At 34.9% G+C, this 24,309-nt stretch overlaps 1 protein-coding gene across 9 annotated transcripts in view; it reads right to left on the bottom strand.

Annotated features, from left to right (window-relative positions):
- Positions 1 to 3,517: 3,517 nt before the first annotated feature.
- TNPO1 (transportin 1) overlaps positions 3,518 to 24,309 on the bottom strand; it is a 97,728-nt gene continuing 76,936 nt past the window's right edge. For 5 of the 9 annotated variants that reach the window (NM_001364292.3, NM_002270.4, NM_001364295.3 and 2 more), the window contains 8 exons: positions 24,203 to 24,290; positions 21,350 to 21,448; positions 20,755 to 20,850; positions 17,825 to 17,900; positions 16,833 to 16,932; positions 14,123 to 14,197; positions 12,461 to 12,603; positions 3,518 to 9,197 (listed from right to left, as the gene is read on the bottom strand). In NM_001364292.3, coding sequence (NP_001351221.1) covers positions 12,496 to 12,603; positions 14,123 to 14,197; positions 16,833 to 16,932; positions 17,825 to 17,900; positions 20,755 to 20,850; positions 21,350 to 21,448; positions 24,203 to 24,290 — 642 coding nt within the window. In that variant the 3' untranslated portion in view covers positions 3,518 to 9,197; positions 12,461 to 12,495. Of the gene's footprint in view, positions 9,198 to 12,325; positions 12,604 to 14,122; positions 14,198 to 16,832; positions 16,933 to 17,824; positions 17,901 to 20,754; positions 20,851 to 21,349; positions 21,449 to 24,202; positions 24,291 to 24,309 lie in introns of those variants that run through there. The other 4 variants (XM_005248501.3, NM_001364294.3, XM_047417168.1 and 1 more) reach the window with 2 other exon arrangements.

Here is a 24,309-nt window from a genome sequence, read left to right as displayed (position 1 = left end):
TACGCTCCTTTGATTTTTAGTCAGCTCTCAGACTTTAATGTTGAGTGCTACAGGGTTAGTCCCTACCATCTTTAATTGTTCCAGTCCTCAGATGATGTTCTTGTCCAATGATTTGAAACAGTATTTATACACCAACTTCCAGCTTTCCATCTTCAGCCAGGTTATCTCCCTGAACTCCAACTGCCTACTCTACTTCTCATGGATGTCTCCAACCAAATGCCAGATCTTCCCTACTCTGGTTAAGGTAAACTGCACCCTTCCAGCTGCTCAAGTCAGACCAAAAGTCTTAAGAGCCATCTGTGATTCTTCTCTCCACAACCCAAATTCAGTATGTTGACAAATGTTGATTCCTCCTTAAAACATATCCAGATATCCAGCCACTTTTCACCTTCCCCACTACCACCCTGATTCAAGCCACTGATAACTCTTCCCTGTTCATAGTAGCATCCCCAAAAGGGTCTACTTGCTTCGACTCTTGTGCTATAGTCTATTCTCAATTACATCACTTTTCTAACCCAAAACCCTACAATGACCCTTTACTTCATTCAGATATAACAACTATACCATCTGGCCTTCCAGTTATCTCTTAGATCTAATCTACTCTTCTCCCTTACTCTGGGTGCTCAAATTAGAACCCTCTCATTTGTTTTACACAAACGCATTATGGTTCTTGGGACATCTGTCCTTATTGTTCCCTTTACCTGAAGTATTCTTCCTCAGACATCCATCATTTCTTCAGCTTTTTGCTCATATGACAACACCCTCTCAGACCTACCTGCTTACTCCATTTGAAAAAGCAACCTCCCCCACTCTATCATCACCTTCCATCTCCTTCTTTCCTTATGGGCACTTGCCACCATTAACACACTACTGTCTTCCTAAAAGAGAATGTTAAGCTCCATGAGATCACGGAACACTGCCTGCAATATAAGACTCAAATAACTGTTAAATATGTAATATAAAAACCTAGATTTTGTATATAAAATTTCCTAAAGTTAGAAAATCATGCTATTAAATCACAACTTACAGCACACATGACAGAATCCACTGGAGTTGGTGCTGGATATGAAAATGAGTACAATTTAACTGAAAGGTAATCTGACTAGACCAACTACCTTTGACCTGCTAGTTTCACTAAGAAATCGCTACAGATGTTTGCAAACATTTAAGCATTGCGACTCTCACTAAAACTTTATTTCTAAGAGTGAAAAATTAGAAAAAACTTCTGAATGTCCAACAACAGTAAGACAGTTGCATAAATTGCTTATAGAATAATATGTAGGTATGTCCATGTATATTAACAAACAATTCTGGATATAACTAAAAACACAAATTCACCATATATTTATATATGTGCACAGGATATTAACAGCAGTTATCACTAGGTAGTTGTATTACAATTCATTTAACTGTTCACTTGTCTTTCTTAAAATTGTTTCAAGTTCTTCAAGAAGTAACACAAAGCTTGAAAAGAATACTTAAGATTTAAATCATCAGAGTGAGACTGCCATAACATGCATGTAAGAATTGACTGGTACAAAAACCTAAAGGGTCTCAGTATAACAACTCTTCTCTGTATTGTTCTTGCCAATGGTTTAGAAATTGCGTTAAATTTACAAATTGTCGCCAGGGGCGGTGGCTCACAACTGTAATCCCAGCAATTTGGGAGGCAAAGGTGGGCGTACCACTCGAGGTGTTCACTCGAGGTCAGGAGTTCGAGACCAGCCTGGCCAACACGGCCAAACTCTCTCCTAAAAAAAAAAAAAAAAAAAAAAAAAAAAAAAAATTAGCCAGGCCTGGTGGCGTGCGCCTGTAATCCCAGCTACTTGGGAGGCTGAGATGGGAGAATTGCTTGAACCTAGGAGGCGGAAGTTGCAGGGAGCAGATATCGTGCCACTGAAGACTGGGAGACAGAGCCAGAGTCCTCTCAATTAAAAAAAATATATACTAATTGTGATGTGTACATTATTTGTGTCTATCTGAATAATGGAGATGTTTCGGGGGTTCTTACACTTTTACATCAAATTAACAACTCAGAAATAAAGAATTTTTAAAATGACAGAGCTTTGGTAATTCCATATTCAACTGTATAGAACACAAAGGAAATTCAAGTTAGCTCTGTAGTTCCTGCTGCCACTTTTCCAATCATTCTTAAAGAATCACGTGAAATTGTGGAGTCATACTGATTATGAACTCATTACAAGAATGCCCGCCAGTCCAAGAATTGTTAAGCCAGCCTTACTCATTTATCATTACGATGGTTTCATCACCTGAACTGAGAAGAAAAAGATCATTTGCATAAAATGGATAGGGCTTTAGTATCACTAAAATATTGACGACTTAGAAAAGACTTTTGGTTCCTAATCTTGAACAAGAATTAGGATGACTTTAATTATCTTTTCCCCACAACCTAAGTCCTAAAATTCTGGAATATTAAACTCTTGAGGCTGTGTTTTAGAACATGATGTCCAAGTTTCAATTTTATTTTCTTGTTAACACAAGAGAACTCTCTCTTCTCAAATATTTTCTTGGCCAGGTAACAAAGAAAAAGAAACCCAAGCCTCACCTCTCTTAAAAGTTTTGGAATTGTACTGATTTAATTTTAGGCTCTTTCCTGTTCTAAATCTCAAAAGGCTGTATGACAAGGCCAGGCATGGTGGCTCACAGCTGTAATCCCAACACTTTGAGAGGCCGAGACAGGTGGATCACCTGAGGCCAGGAGTTCGAGACTAGCCTGGCCAACATGGTGAACCCCCATCTTTACTGAAAATATAAAAGTTAGCCGGGTGTGACGGCACATGCCTTAATCCCAACTACTTGGGAAGCTGAGGCAGGAGAGTCGTTTGAACCCGGGAGGCAGAGGTTGCAGTGAGACAAGACTGTGCCACTGCACTCCAGCCTGGGCAACAGAGCAAGACTCCATCTCAAAAACAAGACAAAAAACAAAAAAAACCATGACAGTTATGCACACATACTCCCTGAAATGTGTTAATACATTTAATTAGTAACATGCAACTATATTAATGCCTTACAACCTGAAGAAAAAATTACTCTTATAAATGTTAATTCCCCAAATTACAAATCTTAACTGTTTGAAGGATAAAGAGGAAGCCTTAATAGGACATACATTCATACACACTCATGCAATCTCTCCTTACATCAACTTTTTATATTCACAATTTCGCCTTTAATTCCTTTTACAGAATAGTATGTCCCCTATCCTCAAACAGCAGAACCTATAATCAACTGTTTAAAACACATCAAGGAGTTAAGTTAAAATGTGGAAAAACAGGTTTTTACTATACTATACAAATAAGAAAACACTTGTTTTAAGAAATAAATGATGTTCAACAACAAAAGTGTACTAATGTGTAAGCTAAGGAAAAAACAAAACAAAACCTCAAACTAAAAACAAGGAAAAAAATCCCAAAAAACATAAGGCTTATCTAGATCCAAAATGGGGTAAGAGGGAAAAAGAAAACTCATTTCCTTTCATTAAAAATCAGAGTGCAACATCTATAGTTAAACAACTTTATTAACATAGTCAAGCAGTGATTAACATTCACATCTATTATGTCACATCATACAAATGTAAATACAAAATTACTACAGTACAATATATATTCTCTGCATGATCCAAAATATTTGGTGGCCCCAAAAAACTCTCTTTAAAATTCAGCAGCTTATCAAAAATTAAAACCGTATTCTATTTAAAATGGAGATCTGTTAGCACAGAGTTAGACTTCAAGAAATATCAATTTAGTACAGTTTGAGAAGTTGCAGGAGGATATGTTTGAAGGACACATTCTAACATAGTGTGGCAGGTACAGGAAACATCAGATTTAAAGCTTTTAAGCATAACTCATACAACCTAAGTTGTCAGCAGAAAGATCCAGTTATATTTGTAACTAAAGCTAATGCTACTAAATTATTGCACCCAATGTTAACATATTAAGTGTAAAACTGTTTTGTAATATGAAGTGATTTACCACGTTTAAACATCTCTTCTCACAAGATGATAATCTATTAAGTAAAACTAATTATACAGTATTGTCTAATTATTGTCTCCATAAAAATCACCCAAGCTCAATTTGCTTATATATCCACAAAGGAAAACAACAACACAGTAATATGCGGAAAGTACAGTGGAACCCCTTTATGAGGCCAATATTAGAAGGGGACCAACACTGCCTTATAGGCTAACCATGTTATAATAGGCTTTTAAAAAGATGTAATACCAGCGAAATAGCTAATCTTGAATAATACCAAGCCACAGTATAAGGAAATTCTATGGCAGATAAACAAAAACTGCAATAAAAGGAAAAACTGCTTTTCTTATTAGTGATACACTGCTTGGCAAATAGATTTGGCCTGGTTTTAAAATGTACAAGAGGTGAAAAAAAATCACCATTTTAACTTCTTTCAAAGTCATGCATACATTCAGCTATTATGCATCTTTTAAAAAACACAACACATTCTGGGATACAAACCACAATGAACAATTGTGTAATTTAAATGTATACCTTAAAAATTAATATGTATAATAACTAGGCATAAAGAATTATCTACGTAAGTAATGCTAATGGGTGAAAGATCTATGTAAGATTGAAAAAATTAGTCACAATTCACTTGGAAAGCCTAAAGGTGAATAAAACTAACTTTTATGTAAAATTTAATTTTAGAGAGGCATTAGAAGTATCTCCATATTTAATACAGTATAAAATGCACTAAGTTGGTATACAACGCTATATTGCATGGTATTATTACCAGATAATATTGTTAACAACACAGCTCATTACTGATCTCACTTTTCACTTAAATTATCCCAAGCCCTTAACTATCTGAAGACCAGTTTTCTTAAATGTTCCAAGGCCTATACTTCATTAACAACACTAGTAGCAAGTTAGTTTCCCCTCCTTGTATTATTTGCAAAAATAATTCAGTAAGCAAAGCTGTGTATGTTTTGAAGTATTATCAAAGGAAGGACTTAAATTGCAGTTATGCATGATACACTCTTCCCCTGGGAAGAATGCTTTTGCACCATTATCTGTTAATACATTCAATATGAATAATATAGATTTACCATATGAAGCAAAAAACCACTTTTTCCTCATGGCAAAGGACTTAAATTTAGACTAAGATGCAATTAATTTATTTCTGGCATTTCTGCTAGGCAGAATAATTTTATATAGGGGAGAAAAATTTCCACTTTCCTATTTTGAGAGTTTGAAGAAAATGACGACCATATGTAGCTCATTTTCAGGTAAACCTGTAGGCAAAAGGCTTGTCAGGAGGGCTTTATACCACCCCAGCCTGCTAGAATATTAGGAAAAAAATCAGACTAAATGGAAAGATTCTCAATGAAATACACTTAAAAAACAAAGAATGTAACTAGGATGACCCTTTATAAGCATGTCACCAAAGCAAAAACAATACAAGAGTATTCACCTGAGATAAAACTTGTATCTGAATATTTTATAACTGAGTAGACAAAGCATTTCAAGAGGAAAATCCATTGAAATTAGTTTAAAATATACATCTGATCCTATTTTACAATATATGCAATTTAAGCAATTCAGATCAATGAAAAAGTCTTAACCAAAAAAATCACAGTGTTTATCAATGTTAATTACAAAATGTATGCTACTTGTTTTGTTTTTAAGATGTAATGGCTTGGTTAAGTGTTTTAAAATCTATTCTTCTGAAATCTAACTTGCATAACAAAATCAAGTAGCAATAATGTAAAGCATCAGAACTGGCTCTTAAAAGATTATTTACATGTTGATTATTTGGGAAATAACCAACCAAAAAATATTAAAAAGTGATTTTTTTTTACACAGTATGAAGTCATTGAAGAGATTAGACAATACAAAAAGCAAAATTCTTTCCTGAATAAATGAATACCTGTGGCACTAAGTTCACTCGCTAATGGACTGTAACATGGAACTGCCAAACATGCATTTAAGTTATATTAATTACACTTTCTGTTTCCAACTTAGGTTGATCAGCAGCTTTGTTCTGTTAGAATCCTTCAAAGAGAGAAGCTCAAACAGGAAAAAGAAGGCATATATAAAACAGTAAACACTGACCTCCTGAGGTTCCTACAACATAAAAATATTCAAGTAGAAAATCTACATCACTTAGCAGCGGCTATTTCTGTAGTTGAGCACACTAACAGCATTTTAGTGTGTAAGGAGCAGATGAAGTAAGCCGTGCTTTAAGCATGCCAAGAGGCAGAAACACTGGAATGTAACAAAGACAAACTCACAATTTTATAGACATTCAGTCAACATTCAAAACTATTAAGACTACACCACAAGAATTAAGTTGCTTTATATATATCCCATGATGTATTAGATTTTATCAGAATAAATGCTAAATCAGAGCTTACCTCAAAAGATAACTTAAATGGCTTCTGCAAATTCCTGTTCTACACTATGTATCTGAAATATAAATTAGGAAGAAACAATAACCTCAAGGGGGAAAAATACACAAAGAATCCCAACTCAAATTCAGGTTGCCAGTCATATTTACCTAATTTTATTTTCTATTTTCAAATTAAATTTCATTTAAATAAAAAAAAAAAGTCAAGTGACTACAAAACTGGGTGCATTTTTAATAGTGTTATTCATCTGCCTAACTGGAAACTAATTTTTAATGAGACAGGTGACAATATTGCCTTTAGTCAATACAGAATTGTCAACCACAGGTTCAAATAACTTTACTGAAGATTGTTATGTGTTTGTTTTAAATCGAATTTGGTCATTTCAATTTAAAATACTCTCTATTCCAGAATATTAAACTATCTCTCATATTAGAATTCTAAGTATTTGAAGCACTACAGAATATCACTATAATCTAAGAATAAAAAAGCTACTCTACTCAGTTATTAAAGACTAACAGGGAGGCAAATTTTGAGCTCCCAGTGAAGCAATGGTACTAGAAAACAAAATGCTGTATACCCTTTGAATCCAACTTATAATATTAAAAATATCAGGCACTATAAAATAATTTAATTTCAGGCTCTACAGACTGAAATTTGCAAAGCCAAAGTAGAGGAAAGGTGAAAGAACGTTAAAAAACAGAACAAAACAAAACAAAACACACACACACACATAGTAACAAAAACCTTTCTACATGCTACCATGCATTTGAAATTTTTGAAACAGTATAAATTCACACGCACACAGCTCAAACTTCAGTGCAATGGCTGTATCATTCAACACTTTTAGAGAATAGAACCATGCAAAGAGGAGCAACTGCTTATAAAAATGGTTATTCAGTATTTATTCTGCAATGCAAAGGTGACAAACTAAAATATAAAAAGGCTGTTATGGCTTAACATTTTTGTTGCAGATTAAATATGCAGCATTGAAAAATGGAAAGGCGTGGCTTCATCTCTGACCAGCAGAGTTAAAAAGAAAAATCTCTCCATTTTCCTTCATCATCATGGGATACACTGTTCAGGCAATCCAAATTAATAAAGACTTGCACTTTCATATGAACACAAGATCAAGTGTACCAGTTAGGTTTTCACATTCACAGTATATAAGAAAATACACATGGAAGGAAAAGTAAAGGGTTAACTTAACAAGGATTTATTCACAGGAATACATGTAAGTAGAGAAAAATAACAGAAAAGCTAAACAAATGAAATGAAGAGGATCCAAACCAACTTTCACTCTGTAGCTTTTAACTTGCACCCTGTGTGCATATATCTAGGGCACAGAGGGCCACCAACATGCGCCAAAATACAGTGTAGGAACCCTGCATTACATCCATTAACTTAAACATATCTTTAAGATCATGCTTTGAACAAAAAAAGGGAAGCTTAGAAGGCAGTATGTTGAGTGGGAATAAACATTGAAATATAGCAATCATTTTTCAACTTCTACAATTGTCTTTATGTGCCAACTAACATTTATGCAGCCTTTTACAGATCTTTTACCACGTAATTTAAATTTTAGAAGTTTTGATAAAATCACTAGTAGTATATAACCATGCAGAAAGCACATCACACTGACAGCACAGAGGCAAAGATTTTGCACAGGTATATCAGCTTTCCACATTGTGCAGGTTACACACAATACAATATCAATCTTATTCCTAACAGATCCTAAAAAAGATATTTCAAGGCCTACCTGTAAACTACAGTACTTTATATATCTATGTTCTTAATAAAAATAAAATCCACAAATCTTAAAAAGGAACTTTAAATGCAGGGCTATATTGAATTGGTAAACTGCAACACAAACTGGCGCAACATAGGTAAATGAATACCAATCTCACTCTATGTGATGCAAGCATGCTACTTTCCCACTAATTTAAATTACTTTCAACCACTATGAGCCAGAATGCATGCCTGAACCTTAAACTGCACTTTAAAAAGTAACATCTTGGCCTAGAAATTAAATCTAATGAAGTATAATCATCAAATTATATCCGCTACATTAATGTTCAATGCAAAATTAAGATGTCATCTTTAGTTTGATATGCCCAACCCCATTTATTCCTCCCTCCCTGCCCACCCCAAAAAAGGTAAAAGGAGTGACTCATTTGGCATTTCACAGGGTGCTTCATTGTTTATGTTTGTTTTGTTTTATTTCCAACTTTTTTGGGGTACCTTAAATTGTAACTTCCAAGAACCTGCTTCTACTACGGGAAGGCAAGCTGACTTTTAACTATATTAGTTTTCTTTGTGTAGTTCTTCATCAACATGCAAAACAAGGCCCCATCATGTGGGAAAACTTACATAAAAAAACTTTAAATTAAAAAAAAAAAAAAAGCTTCTTTACTATTTGTAACTCCCATTCTTAGGTTTCCTTTATTGTGCGCTATAGAATTGTTCCTCTTTCTTGTCCCTAGGCATCATTTATATGGTTCTTGTTTTGGTACAATTCCCCATAATATTCCACAATGTACTGTTTTGTGAGTAGACTGAATAGATTTTTTTTTTTTTGCTTCTTCACATCCACTGCGGAGTTGTAACTGGAGACATATTTCCACCCACAAAGGCTCCAGATGTTAAAACGTTTCCCAACATCGACTTAATACAGTGACGGCAACACCTCCCTCCCGCCCCTCCCAGTAGGGTTGGGATTGTACTGTATTCCCTACTGGTTTACCCTTCCCCCCTGTAAAGGGTAACATTTTCCCTGGGTGCAGAGGCTCCCTTATAGTCTCCAAGACTGAAGGACCTATAAGAAAAAGAACAAAAACAATTTTATCTTTAACAATCGTTTGTCTTTCAAAGCCAGTGGAACAAAAAATTAATCAAATAAGAATGCTATCTTTACCTATAAAGAAAATGAGAAATTTGGACAAATTGCCTAATATCGTGTTAGTCACTTATAACCATGCTGCTTCCTTCTCCTATGGCACTGAATTGTTTGCTGCATCAGGTATGAAAAGTGAGGTCAAGCTGGGTAGGAGAGTTGTATAGACAGGTGTACAACACTTTGTATAGTGAAATATGCCTCGTATGATGCTATCAGTCTAATTCTTTATCCCCTTTTGCAAAATGGGACCCAATGGGAACTTGTTATTTCTTATATAACAAGTGGCCTTACTTTCTTAAAAATAAAGTAGCACTTTCTTTAGGACAATCCTTAGAATGAAAACACCATCTTTTTTTCCCCCAGTATTCCCAATATTAAGCAAACAGAAATCCAACCTATCAAAACACAAAAGAGCATTTGTTATTTGGGGTTGTCTGGTATTTTAAGCCTAGAAGGCACTAGAAGTGTTCATTACCACAGCAGGGTCACTACATTCAGTAAGTATCAACAAACAAATTCTACATAAAAAAAGAGAGAGAGAAAAAAGCAAATTTAACATTTATTTATTTATTTTGGAGATAGCACCTTGCTCTGTCACCCAGGCTGGAACGCAGTGGTGTGAATATGGCTCACTGAAGCCCCAACCTCCTGGGCTCAAGCAATCCTCCTGCCCAGTCTCCTGAGTAGCTGGGACCATAGGTACATACCACCATGCCCAGCTCATTTTTTTCTTTTTAATTTTTTTCATAGAGATGGAGATCTCATCATGTTGCCCAGGCAGGTCTCAAACTCCTGGGCTCAAGCAATGCTCCCACCTCAGCCTCCCAAAATGCTAGGATTATAGATGTGGGCCATCACACCCTGCCTACACTTGCCTTCTTGATGTTCCTAATTAGTTCCCATTCTGATCCTATTTCACTTGGTCATTTCCACTATCTTCCAGTCACTTGGTTTTTCTGGTAGGAACTTTTTTCTATGCTAAACAGTTTTAATGATAAAAAGGATATTAAGAAATAAGGTAAGATTACTGGGAGATTTAAACTGTTACCTGATAGTGGTCCTTTTACAAACAGAACTCTACTACCCAATCATGCCAAGTTTTGGCCATTTATGAACGTTCATGTGAATTCACAGAGGGCAGTTAATCCATCTGTGTAGAAATATAAGCAATCCCTTTTCTCCTGCCTCTGAAGAAAAGGAAGAGGAGTACAAAAAGGCAGGAATAAAAGATACTGATCTACTTTTAGCTCTAATTACAAAACCGAGAACTATTTCATACCTTGTCTTAGAACAGTTAATTCATGATTGGTGATGAGACCACAGAGGTAATAAATCTGAAAGTGCTCAAGACTTGTTAGTAGCTCATTGAAGCTTTGAAGCTACAAGTCATTCTCATCTTTTGCATTCTCATAATTTAACATAAGGTGAATCCAGCACTTTTCCAAAATGCCAAAGCCATTTTGGAAAACAGCTCTTGAGGACTCAAGACTGAAGTAGGACAACACATATGAAGGGCTCTGACACATTCTGGAAGCTTTGAGTCCATTTCTACTACCTTCTAGGTTAGACAGCTTGGATGGTGAAATCTTTCCAGATTTAAATTTTAGCTTGGAGTAAACAAGCAAGCAAGCAAGCCAAAAAAACTCCTCCAATTCAATCTAAAGTGTAATTCAACTTGGTGTACATCTTCTGTACATGCTCATTCAGCACATCTTCTGGCTTCCAGTCAGATATGTCTTAATTCATGTTGAAAATCTAAAGATGAATGTCAAAACCCTGATATTTATTGTACTGGCCCAGTTCCTAACCTTTACTGAGTCAACTTAGTGTGCCAGGCAACATACTAAGTTCTGGCATCACATACAGTATAGTATTTAATCCTCAACATAACTCAATGACAAAACCGAAGCTCAGAGATGAGAACTGCTAGTCCCATTTAAGTACAGAAGAGCTCAAGGAGCAAGAGTCCAAATGAATATAGTCCATCCCAAATTAAAACAGAATCTTTCATTGCTTATTTTAAAATATAGTCCTAGGCACTGGGCTCAGTGGCTTACGCCTGTAAATCCCAGCACTTTGGGAGGCCGAGGTGGGTGCATCACAAGGTCAGGAGTTCGAGACCAGCCCGGCCAACATGGTGAAACCCCATCTCTACTAAAAATACAAAAATTAGCCAGGCATGGTGGCATGTGCCTGTAATGCCAGCTACTTGGGAGGCTCGGGCAGGAGAATTGCTTGAACCCAAGAGGCGGAGATTACAGTGAACTCAGATTGCGCCACTGCACTCCAGCCTGGGCGAAAGAGTCTCTGTCTCAAAAAAAAAAAAAAAAAAAAAAAAAAAAAAAAAAAAAAGAAAAAAAAAAGTGATGGGCACATGGTAGGTACTCAGTGAAACATACAGTGAAAAACAAAAACAGTGGGCCAAAACCCAACTGAGTTTTCTTTCAAAGCACGTGAAATGAAAAGTCCTTGTTACAGCAGAGACTATAAATTCATGCTCCAAAATGAAATCAATTTTACCCCATCACTATGAGTGCCGATGTCTTCTTGCAGGAAAAAAGAAAGAAAAAAGGAATAGTTGAAGCAATGTTGAGAAATCCAACCAGTGTACCAACGTGGATTTCTTTATACCTACGATTCAAACTGGAGCTAATCGTTTTTCTGGGCTTGTTGGTTCTATTAAGAAAATTTCTTTAGCCTTCACTTGAGTAATTTTATTTTCTATTTATTTGAGATGGAGTCTTGCTCTGTCCCCTAGGCTGGAGTGCACTGGCAAGATCTTGGCTCACTGCAACCCCCATCTCCCAGGTTCAAACAATATTCCCACCTCAGCCTCCTGAGTAGCAGGGACTACAAAAGCACGTCCCACCACACGTGGCTAATTTTTGTATTTTTAGTAGAGATGGGTTTTCACCATGTTGGCCAGGCTGGTTTCAAACTCCTGACCTCAAATGACCTGCCCACCTTGGCCTCCCCAAGTGCTGGGATTACAGACATGAGCCACCACACCTGGCCCACTTAAGTAATTTTAAATTTAAAGCCCAAGATAGAATGATATGAGGCTATGTTTTATTCAACCTCTATAGAAAACAAATAGCTTTTTATTCTATTTAGTAGTTTGAAATGACAGCCCTAACAAAATTTTCTTCATCCTGAAAATTTCCAAACTTCTTATAACTTACCCCTAATTTTGGGACTGCAGCTTAAGTGTATTAGATTAAACACCATAAAAAGCTGCAAGACGCTCTTTTAAGGGAAGAGGAAACTGGTCAGAGAAACGCCTCCAATTTTCATCGCCAACTTGATTTTTAAATCCATGAAGGATCTGTAAGAGTGAAAAACCATTAATTTATCAATAACAAGAGAAAAATTCAGATCAGCATAGCTTCTGAAATCCAACACAGCTGATTTTTTTATAAATTTTATCCATTTTAAAGTAGCAATTCTCAAACTTCGTAGGATTCTACACCATTCCCTGCTAATATGGTCTGGCTCTGTGTCCCCACCCAAATCTCATCTTGAATTGTACTCCCATAATTCCCACGTGTTGTGGGAGGGACCCAGTGGGAGATAACTGAATCATAGGGGTAGTTTTTCCTATACTCTTCTGGTGGTAGTGAATAAGTCTCATGAGATCTGACGGTTTGATAAGGGGAAACCCGTTTCACTTGATTCTCATTCTCTTTCTTGCCTGCTGCGATTTAAGACTTGTCTTTCACCTTCCACCATGACAGTGAGGCCTCCCCAACCACATGGAACTGTGAGTCGAATTAAACCTCTTTCTTTTGTAAATTACCCAGTCTTGGGCATATCTTTTTGTGTGTGTGGCGGGGACAGAGTTTCACTCTTATTGCTCATGCTGGAGTGCAACGGCATGATCTTGGCTCACTGCAACCTCCACTTCCTGGGTTCAAGCGATTCTCCTGCCTCAGCCTCCTGAGTAGCTGGGATTACAGGCATCCGCCACCACCCCTAGCTAATTTTTTGTATTTTTAGTAGAGATGGCGTTTCACCATGTTGGCCAGGCTGGTCTTGAACTCCTGACCTCAGGTGATCCACCTGCCTCGGCCTCCCAAAGTGCTGGGATTACAAGTGTGAGCCACTGAGCCCGGCCCTTGGGCATATCTTTATCAGCAGCGTGAATATGGACTAATACACGTGCCTTGCCTAAAAGTACCTCATAGCATATGCTTAAACTCTGCTTTGAGAAGTTTAGACTTTGGCAAGTGTTCCAGTAACAGATATACTCTAAGCAATCTCTGATACCATACTAACGAAAAGATAAAGTAGAGAAGTCATCCAAGCAATACAATTTTTATGTCGTATTTTTTCAAACTGCAAATACACAAGCTTTGAGTTCACGACAAACTATAGTTCACTAACTTTAATCTTGGGTGATTCAAATGTGTAACTGCATTTTATTTTTTACTGTGGTTGAGTACTGACGAGTTAATCAAAAGAGGGTATTAACAAAGCAAATAATGACATGGGCTTACTCCTGTGGCAGCCATTTAGATTTACTCTTTTTCAGATTATACTCCAAGTCTCCATTTCCATCTTGAAAAACATATACTATTTTCCTTAAATGGAATAATGGGACCACCTAAACTAGTGGTACACTTGGGAAAATACTTTCAAAGTGCATCCTCTACAGATAAGAGTCACTGCTGTATTTTAAGAAAAGATCAAGCCAACTTTGTTACCAAGAATAAAGGTTATATATGTAAACTATCAATACTGACTTGAAGAGCCTAACTTTCACAAAAAATGTAAACATAATTTAAAGTTTTCCACTAGGATATTAACAGTCTCAAGATGATGCATTATAAAGACTTATTAGTTACCTTACAGAACATGTCTCTGAGATCATCTTTTGGGTTAATCCATGATGCAACGGCATCACAAAAAAATATAAAATCCTGTAACAAGCAAGAAATACATCTTAGGTTGATATTGTATTTGTCAAACTCAGCAAAAGATATATGTAAACCTCAGAGTTTATGTCACAATAGAATCTAGCTTAAAAAAGGAAACATTTAAAAATTAACTATGATCATAAGGAATTAGAAGAGATTACCTTAATGGCTGTCCCTATTAGCCCACAGTCAAGGAACCTCAACTCATTCAGTTTATACTGGACTTTAATGTCCTGCATCACACAACAAAATAACCCCCTGTGCAATAAATGTTCAGCATCAGAAATGAACTGAAAGCACCAAATCGACACCCATAAAAATACTCTTTCATTTACCGGATTAAAGAAAAACATAAAACCAATGATCTTACAGTTTTGACTGGCCTAGAAAGAAATTAAAGCTAGCTAAATATATATTAAATGACCTTGATTTGAAATAGAGAAATTAGTAATTTCAAGGTCCATTTTCAGACATAACTTAGTTGAAACAACCAAAAAATTGAAGAAAAACTAATTATGTAATTACAAATACCCAATCCAAACAAGAACAAAAAACCCAACTTTTGGACAATTACTTAAAAGATAATCAGGCTATTCTGACTATAAGAACAAGATAATAATATGCTTTAAGCATTTCATTAAAATATTCTCAATCTTGCCTATCATACTGAAACACTAACAGTTCAACAAACAGCATTCAACATATTGCTGATTTTCTGACATGTCAACTATAAATTTTACTATTATATTCAGAAAACTTCACTAATTTCAAAAAATTTGGTAATACTACAGTGTGTGTATGTTTATTTAAGCAAAAAAGATTTGCTTAACACAATTTATTCAAATTATGTCTTCCAAATACCAAATCTGATGTTAAAAATTTAAATGCACAGATACCCAGAATTTGTGATTAAAAAATTTAAATGTAAATAAACCTATGACATTTTATTTTAACCATATCCAAAATAAGGTATGTGAATAAAAGTTATAAAACAGAAATTTCTACCAACTCTTAAGTTGGTAACAATTTTATGATCATACATGTGCTACTTTTATCATCTTAAAACATTAATTCAAAAACAAAGAAACAATAAAATCTTGGTCGGAAGATACTTTTGAAAAAGATGGTACATGTCATATCAGATACCTCTAGCACACATTTGAGATCACACAAAGTTCTTAAGTATTAAAAAAAAAAACAAAAACCCAGAAAATGTCAAAAGCTTATTTTGTAACTAGAAACCTCTCAAGATGGCACTGGCTTGTTCTAACAGTAAGTTATGAATATTTTATGAGTGTGAAATCAGTCAGAAGTTATTTTCTAATTCTAACTTGTAGGTTTTCAACGTCTATCACCTGTATCAATTTGAATTTTATAAAACAGAATTAACGTTTCTAAAACCGAGTTAAGAAAAACCACAATACGAGCTAGGAAACATCAAAAGGTCACAATTTAAAAATGTTCAAAACACCCCTCTCGGAGTGGAAAGTTTCAATTTTCTTGAAAATTAAGAAATGTGAGAAAGTTATTGCTATAAAAGCATTTTTTTGGGGCAGTTTTATAACTCTTGTGTGCATTCCTGGAAACCAAAATTTAGTTCTTTGCTTCCCTCCCTCAACTACATTTTTTTTTTTTCCAGATGAAGTCTCGCTCTTGTCCCCCAGACTGGAGTGCCATAGCGCGATCTCGGCTCATTGCAACCTCTGCCTCCCGGGTTCAAGCAATTCTCCTGCCTCAACCTCCCGAGAGCTGGGATTACAGGCACCTGCCACCAAGCCTGGCTAATTTTTTATCTGAAGTAGAGATGGGGTTTCACCATGTTGACCAGGCTGGTCTCGAACTCCTGACCTCGTGATCTGCCTGCCTCGGCCTCAACTACGTTTTTCAATTGATTTGATGTATCTTGGGTCTCTTGTCTACAGGATTCCTTCCACGCTTTCTTTTCCTTAAACGTGTCTGCTGAAGAATCCAGGTATTTAACCTAGAGTCCCACAGTTAGCATTTTGTTCACTGAATATACATGGTGTAATTCAACATGTTTTTGTTTTGTGTGTCTAGAAAATTGGCAGTTGGATCCAGATGCTTAACTGGACTCATGTTCAATACTACTGCCGAATAATTAAAATGTCTACATATAACTTGAACTTGGAAAACAAAGATGAATAAATCATAAGCTCTCAAAATTAGAGCAATTTCAATGGCTGATTTGTATTTTATTCATTATTTCTAAATCTGATTCAAAGTATTTTATTCAGAATAGAGAGACAGTATTCCTACTATTTGGTCACTCTATTAACTGTAGATATCCACAAACTGATATCCAGGGATGGGAGGCAGGGACAAAGTAAATAAATGAGGTCTGAAATTTGGATGAAAGAAGCCATGGCCTGATTCAAGACAAGAATATAACCTTGTTGTCCCAATCTGCTGTTACTATCTCATTTCATGACAAAAAAAATTTAGGAAAAAAAAAAGGCATTACAATTTCAAGATATTAAGAAATATACATTTTAAAGGTTTAACTGTATTTTGATACCTTTGAAAATAGTTAACTTTTTATAATTAAAGTATTAGAATGTTTCTTCCTTTAAAATTTTATTAATTAGACATTAAAAACAAATCTTTGTGAACATCTTACTTGGATTACGCCACTGGGATTCACACTGATCATGGTACAAATTCCACGGAATGCTGAATCCTTTTCCTCATTGTCTCTTATGTTTCTCAGAGAGGTGCACCTATTGAATTACAGAATTGAGTTTAGCATTTAAGTAACAAGCAGATTCAATGACAATACTAATGGACAGTATTTAATGGAATAAGCACCACAGTATAGATAATGATTATATTAAAAGAGTTTTTCGGAAAGCTTTAGTTTCGTTTACTCATACTTCCTGTTTGTTGGGCCCATCTTATCTCAATACAGTAGAAACAGTGAAATCCACATTTTCTTAATAAATTGCATTTATAAAGTAGATAACTAATTTGAATCTCCCATTTAAACTATTAATGAGCCTGAGCCAAGAAGAACAAATTACCAAATTAACTTTTAAAATTGTACTCATGACTTGTATTCCATTAAACACTACTAAAATGATTTGAATTGAAAGATTATCAATTGAAAGAAGCAAAACATAGGATATAGTGCCACAATATAAACTATTACTATATAGCTTATGGTGTAGATGTTTAACTTTTACATTAACAAGCAAATAATATTTTTATACATAACAAATTTAAACATGTATTTCTTAATGCAATCCAAGTTTCCAAATTAATTCTAAAAAAGAAACGTAATGCAAAAACCTAAATTTATAGAATTTGCATGCATCTTTATTTTTCTGGTGGATATTTAAATGCTTTTTATGTATAATCAAGCTTTTTTAACACAGCAAGCATGTGACAATCTTATCCCATGCATCAATTAGTCGTTAGCCACAACATAAAATAAATATACATGACGATGCTATTGAAAAACCTCACAAACCTGATAGGACAAGATTAGTCACATGGTTGGCAATGATAAAGGATTGTGATTTTTGTAACCAACTGAAAATATATCTAAAAGTGAGATAGAGAAAGAAAGAGTGAAGAAAAATGAATTAAAAAAAAAGATTGAATAATACACACCAGGGTCTTATAAACTGCTGTAGCATGGGGGCCACCTCTTGAGGACAAACGTAACCAAGACGACCAATTGTTATTGCTAAGGTAACGCAATCACGGTTATACACCACCAAACGCCAACCAAGACATGAGCAAATGAGGGGGAAGGAGAAAAAATAAAGAAAAAACAACAAATAACTCAGAAACAGAAACCAACAGAATTTGTGTATGATAATAAACATAAGATTTCACCAGTGCTGTTTATTACCACCCCCTAAAATAAGGGGCAGCAACATATATGGCATACTCTTGGAAAAAGAAAAACAAAAGGAATTAAAAAAATCTAAAGATTGAGAGAACACCAAAAACCATGATGAAATTGCTTTTCTCGCTCAATCGAGTGTCAAGGTATCATTCTGTTAATAAGATGAGCAGTTAAATGGACAAATTTAGAGAACCTTCATTCAAAAGCCAGCCAAAATTTCAGAATTTAATAATAAAATCTATAGTTTTTTTCATGAGAAAATATCAGTAAATGTGATTATATTTCTCAAGCATCTCAAACTAATACAGGTGAAAGTGATTTCCATTCCTTGGAAATTATCTAGGGAATTTAAACCAAATTTTTGGTAGTTTCAAAAATTTTTTCTTTGATTAACATTTGCCAAACCAACCAGTGGAAATTTGTTACCTTACATCAAAATCAACTGTCAGATTTTAAGTCTCATGGTACTCACTGAATGAATGGATTAGAATATTGCTATGCTACAATGTCAAATCTCATGTTGTCAAACCTCTGATAACTCAGGTAACAGTCCACTAACTTTAAGCCATGTTTGAAATAAAATTCTAATAAAGGAAATTTACAGTCCACTGCAATGACATATGATATGTGGACCACAGGAAAAAATAAATATTCTGTTTCTGCTATTAAAGGTATAGCACAAAATAGATAATACATTATACTAATTACACACTATTTTTTTTTACAATTTTGAAGTGGGCAAACATATATTCACCATAAAAATTGAGGAAGTCTTTAAACTTACAAAGAGCTAAAATAAGTGCAACTCGGAACTGCATTCTGCAATTCAAAGGTACGTACATGTAAATACATTCATACACAACAGGAAAAAATACAAACAGAAAACAAACCATGAAGTGCTTTAATGGTGTTCTCTCAAAAACTTACAGGTTAACCTTTCATAAAAAAAGGGTGGGGGGTAAAGAAAAATGTTTAAGGATTACTTGAAGCAAACTACACAGATAATACTAAAATCCAGCAGATTCATATGAAGCAAGAGAAAGAAAACCTATGTTCAAAAGACACAAACTATGCAACATTCTCATTAAACAGGCAAGTATGAACAATCCAATGAAACATGCGATAAAGCAGATGATGGTCCATTGAAAAAGTTCAGTGCAGGATATACTAATCGGAAAAAAGCAAATTAACGGCAGACTAAGGAATTGGCTTTATGAAATATTGAGATAATGGTAATTAAAAGCTGCTAAAATCTAGATATTAGCCATTGACAATGATTTTAATAATTAAAAAACCCCACTTTTTTGGGTAAGAAATAAAGAAAACAATACTTTATGCAGCCACTTGTGATAAGAGGTAATCTAATGAATCCCAAGTGTGTTTCTCAATAATATCAATTTAATCCATCAACTTTAGGGCATTATGACTTATTTATGTAGGATATAATCATACTTAAAATATAATCTTATAAATAAAGCCAATTTGTTAAACAAACTATGTAACAAATTCACCAGCTGATATCCCACAAGAAACTTTCATATACATTACACTCAACATTTATTTGCAGTTAAGCATTCACATTTAAAAATAAATAGAAGTTTCTTTAGGTTCCACAATAATTTTATAATGGCAAGTCTTTCAAATCTGAATGTCATGTATAGGTACTGCATTCTGAAAAGATAAAATCCTAACAAGATTTCATAACCCATCCTATACATAGATTTTTGTACTTTTCAGCAAGAAAATCTAATTCACTTTGTGAAATAAACAGTACCCATACAGCCAAACAGCCAGATAACTGCTTCATAATTAAAAGATTTCCTTCCATACCAATAAACATTATCAATTTTAATAGCATTAGAATAAAATGAACTTTCTATAATTTAAAAATACCAAATAAAAATGCCTTTGAAAAGTAACTTTCTTATTTGGAAAACCTTATTTTAATCTTTGTCTAGTATTTTGGTAGAATACTCATTGAATTATAAATAAATTATGGGAATCATCTTAGTATGTAAAGAAAGGAATGTGCCTGAATGAAAACAAAATTTCTGTCTTTCTGGATTGTTAGCAGCAATCAGGGAGGGTAGAAAGAAAAGGACCGAATCCACCCACAAATGTGTTCTATAGTATGGAAGGTACTCTTTAATATAAACATGCTCTCTATAAATGCAAAAGAGAAACAAGCTTCCTAAAAAAAAAAAAATAAATTAAAAAAAAAATCCCATAACATACTGCCTAAATTCCCAATTCGAAGAAAATTATATGATGAAATACAAACTACAAATGCCACTGTTAACCAATTTGCCACTGAATCTTTTTGACTACATTTGGACAGATTAAAAAAAAAAATTACTTCCCAGCTCCCAGTTACTCTCCGAATTAATTTAAAAGCAAAATTCAGGTGGTTCAATAGTTATCTTTGCTGGGATCCATTGCAGGAAGTATTAAAACACTGGAATAGGGGAAAAAAGTGTTTTTCTGGTTATACCACTGAATATATAACCACTGAAAACTGGTTATAGAATGTAGCTGCAACAGTCTATTTCATTACTGAAAATCCGAAATAGCAATTAAATACAAAATAAGCTCGATTTTAAAAGCTAGTTTTGCTTTGGTTTCTCTACGCATATTAAAATTAAAAGGCAACAAATTTTCTCTTCACTGAAACAGTTCAGTCATATGGTACCTGTATTCTCTAACAACGTCTTTGGTGTGTTGGGTCTGTTAATGATTTCTACAAGCTGGTGCAACACCATAGGAATATAAGGCTGCATCTCTATACCTAGAGATCATCCCAAAAAGAAAAAAACAAAAAAGAAAAAATTGAACGTTAAAATATCAATGTGAAATATTTTGCTTCCCGTATTAACTCTGACATGTCATATAAATATAGAAATACAAATAATTAAAATTAAAGCAATTACAAAAATATCAAGGCACCTAAAAATTTATATTTTATTTATTTATTTTGAGACAAAGTTTCGCTCCGTCACCAGGCTGGAGTGCAGTGGTGCAATCTCAGCTCACTGAAACCTCTGCCTCCCAGGTTCAAGTGATTCTCCTGACTCAGCCTCCCAAATAGTTGGGATTATAGGCACCCGCTACCACGCCAGCTAATTTTTGTATTTTTAGTAGAGACGGGGTTTCACCATGTCAACCAGGCTGGTCTCAAACTCCTGACCTCAGGTGATCTGCCCGCCTCAGCCTCCCGAAGTGCTGGGATTACAGGCGTGAGCCACCGCGCCAGGCCTTATGCTTTTAAATAGGGAAAAACATCTTACCCATTTGAATGGAGATTTCTCCAATTGCCCATGTGGCATTGTTGCAGACTGAAATGAATTCTGGATTTAGGTTGGTTCCCAATATTGGCATGAAATCAGCTAGAAAAAAAATTTAAACTATGTAGTAAACTTTTCAATAGCAGTATATTGTACTTTAAAGGAAATCTACTAGGTGGAAACAGAAATCTAAGCAAGAAATAACAAGTTTCACCATTAAAAAAATTACTGCAACATCAATTTTAAAATTGGTGGAAATAAACTAGGCAACTGTATTTAAAAATATTTTTTAAAGGAGTTGGTAATGTTTATCTTAAGAAACTGAAGAAAACAGTATCTGGCCAATGAACTTTCAAATAATGTGGAACAGGAAATACAAGTTTGGGTATATTTTACATACCACTAAAAAGAGTTGGTCAGAGTAATCTCTTGTAATTAGACTAAAAAAAAAAAATCAATGATTTTGGCTTTTAAAGCAATTTTCACTCTTGTGCTCTGATTGTGGTCTCTGAATAACATTTTCCACTAAAAAAAAATGGACTCTCAGAAAACGTCACATTACAGGCAAAGGCAGGAAATGTGCAAAATAAGTGGACTATCTTGTCATAATGAAAGGACTCGGGAGCCAACTTAAGTTCTCACTGCAAGCAGTACAACAGCTTGAACATCATGAAGTCACACTAGCACTAAAAACAATCAAACAAAAACAAAACTCTGAAACATCAAAGATACCTTTGGAGGATGATAGGAATCAATTCATTATTTTGAAAATTGGTAAATAAAAAAAAGAATCAAGTATTTATCTTGCCTCTGCTATATGATTTTACCTCAGGATAGTAATTTATTGATATGGGAAATGTCTCCCTATATAAGTATCTTCATTATTAAATGAAGAATTAGAATATCATAATTTTTTAAACTCCTAATAAATCAGGAGATGTAAGCCAGGGTTTCTTGATCTCAGCAATATTGACAGTTTGGGCCAGATCATTTTTTTGTTGGGGGGAAGGGGAGCTGTCTCCTGTATTATAAGATGTTTAGCAACATCCTTTGCTTCTACCCACTAGACATCAATGGCACCTCTCCAGCATCAAACAAAATGTCTCCAGACACTGGCAAATGTTCCCCGAATGGCAAAATTGCCCCTAGTTGAGAACCACTAATTGAGACAATCATCAAGATTGGTAACATTAAAAAAAAAAAAAGGAGGGACAACTAGACACTATGTACACTAAGTACACAATACCATCTATAAAGTCTTAAAAACAAAACAACGTAAATCTCATTAAACCTCAGTCTCTGTATCCAAACAATTTACAGTAAATACAACGGACAGAGGAACATGTTAAAGACAACAAAGATGCAATCAGTAAAATCCACAGTAAAGGAAACTCTTTAGAATAAAAAACATGGTTTCTTTAACAAAAAACAATTGTAAGAAGAGATAGTATAGTATGTACTAAAATATTAAGACTTCAAATGCTGTGTTTGAGATTTGCTCCAAAATATCTGAGATCTATGTGTCTCACCACTGACAACAGTATATAGGAAACAGGACTGGACAGTTGAAGCTGGGTGATAGGAGGTTTGTTACATTTTTTCTACTTTTGTACGTCTTAAACACTTTATAATAAAAAAATTAAATCCTTTCATATAAGTTTCAACTAAAAAACTAAATTAGGTGGTAAATATGAGAATGATAAGCTTCCCATAAGAATTCATTACACTGTTAGGTTTAAACTTGATGGTTCTTAATATATCATAATTAATGTTAATTATGTTAGTTTTTTGAGAAATGGTTATCCAAAAGCACAATTATATCAGATGACAAAACATTCAATTAATATTTTAAATTAAGGTTTAAATGAAGTATTAAAATAATTTTTTTTGAGACGGAGTCTTGCTCTGTTGCCCAGGCTGGAGTGTAGTGGTACAGTATCAGCTCACTGCAGACTCTGCCTCCCGGGTTCAAGCGATTTTCCTGCCTCAGTTTCCCAAGTAGCTAGAACTACAGGCACAAGCCACCACGCCTGGCTAAGTTTTTGTATTTTTAGTAGAAGCGGGGTTTCACCGTGTTAGCCAGGATGGTCTTGATCTCCTGACTTCGTGACCTGCCCGCCTTGGCCTTCCAAAGTGCTGGCATTACAGGTCTGAGCCGCCGTGCCCGGCTGTATTAAAATAATTGTTACCCAACATGCTGAGATGCAGAAAAGGGGGAAAAAAATCCCATAACTCATTTATAACCCATAGGTTTAAGAACAATTCCGGGTACAACATTCAAGGAATTTCTTATCATTGTCACAGAAGGCCAAGACAAATGCTATGCTAGTCTCGAATCTCGCACTCCTGACCTCAAGTGATCTGCCTGCCTTGGCTTCCCAAAGTGCTGGCATTACAGGTGTGAGCCCCCAGGCCCAGTCTCAGTTAAAGTGACATTTGTTGGAAGTTTTCTGCAATATCTGAAAAAGTATGCTGGTTTGCTAGAGAAGAAAACCTGATTATTACTATTTCTGTGTACCTCTACCAAAAAGGTGGCTACTCAAAAAAGAATCTATTAACTAGTCCATGGTACCAAGGCTTCCCTGGTGGGCATGTCCTTTACTCTAAAGTATATTACTAAGCTTTCCTCCAGTCACAGGAGTACCTAAAAAGCTGAGATGATGGCAAGCTCAAGGAAATATTAGGGGTTCCTGCCATCTTGCCTGTTTCAATCACAGCAAGTTTACTTTAACCAATAAAGTGTACATTTATAAATGTTGGGATTCCATGCAATTTCAGTTTAATAATAAAAAAACAAAGCTGATGTAAATGTTAACTTTAAAAAACCATATTCATAGCAGTAGAAAATATTCATACCTATACAAGGCTTAACATGCTGAAAGCAAGCTTTTGTGAGGTCACCTAACAGGGCAAAAGAACTCTGTCGAACTTCTGGCATTTTATCCTACAAGAAATAAGAAGAA

This window comes from Homo sapiens, chromosome 5, assembly GCF_000001405.40.
Source record: "Homo sapiens chromosome 5, GRCh38.p14 Primary Assembly".
NCBI lineage: Eukaryota > Metazoa > Chordata > Mammalia > Primates > Hominidae > Homo > Homo sapiens.
This window is presented reverse-complemented; position numbering and strand designations above follow the sequence as displayed.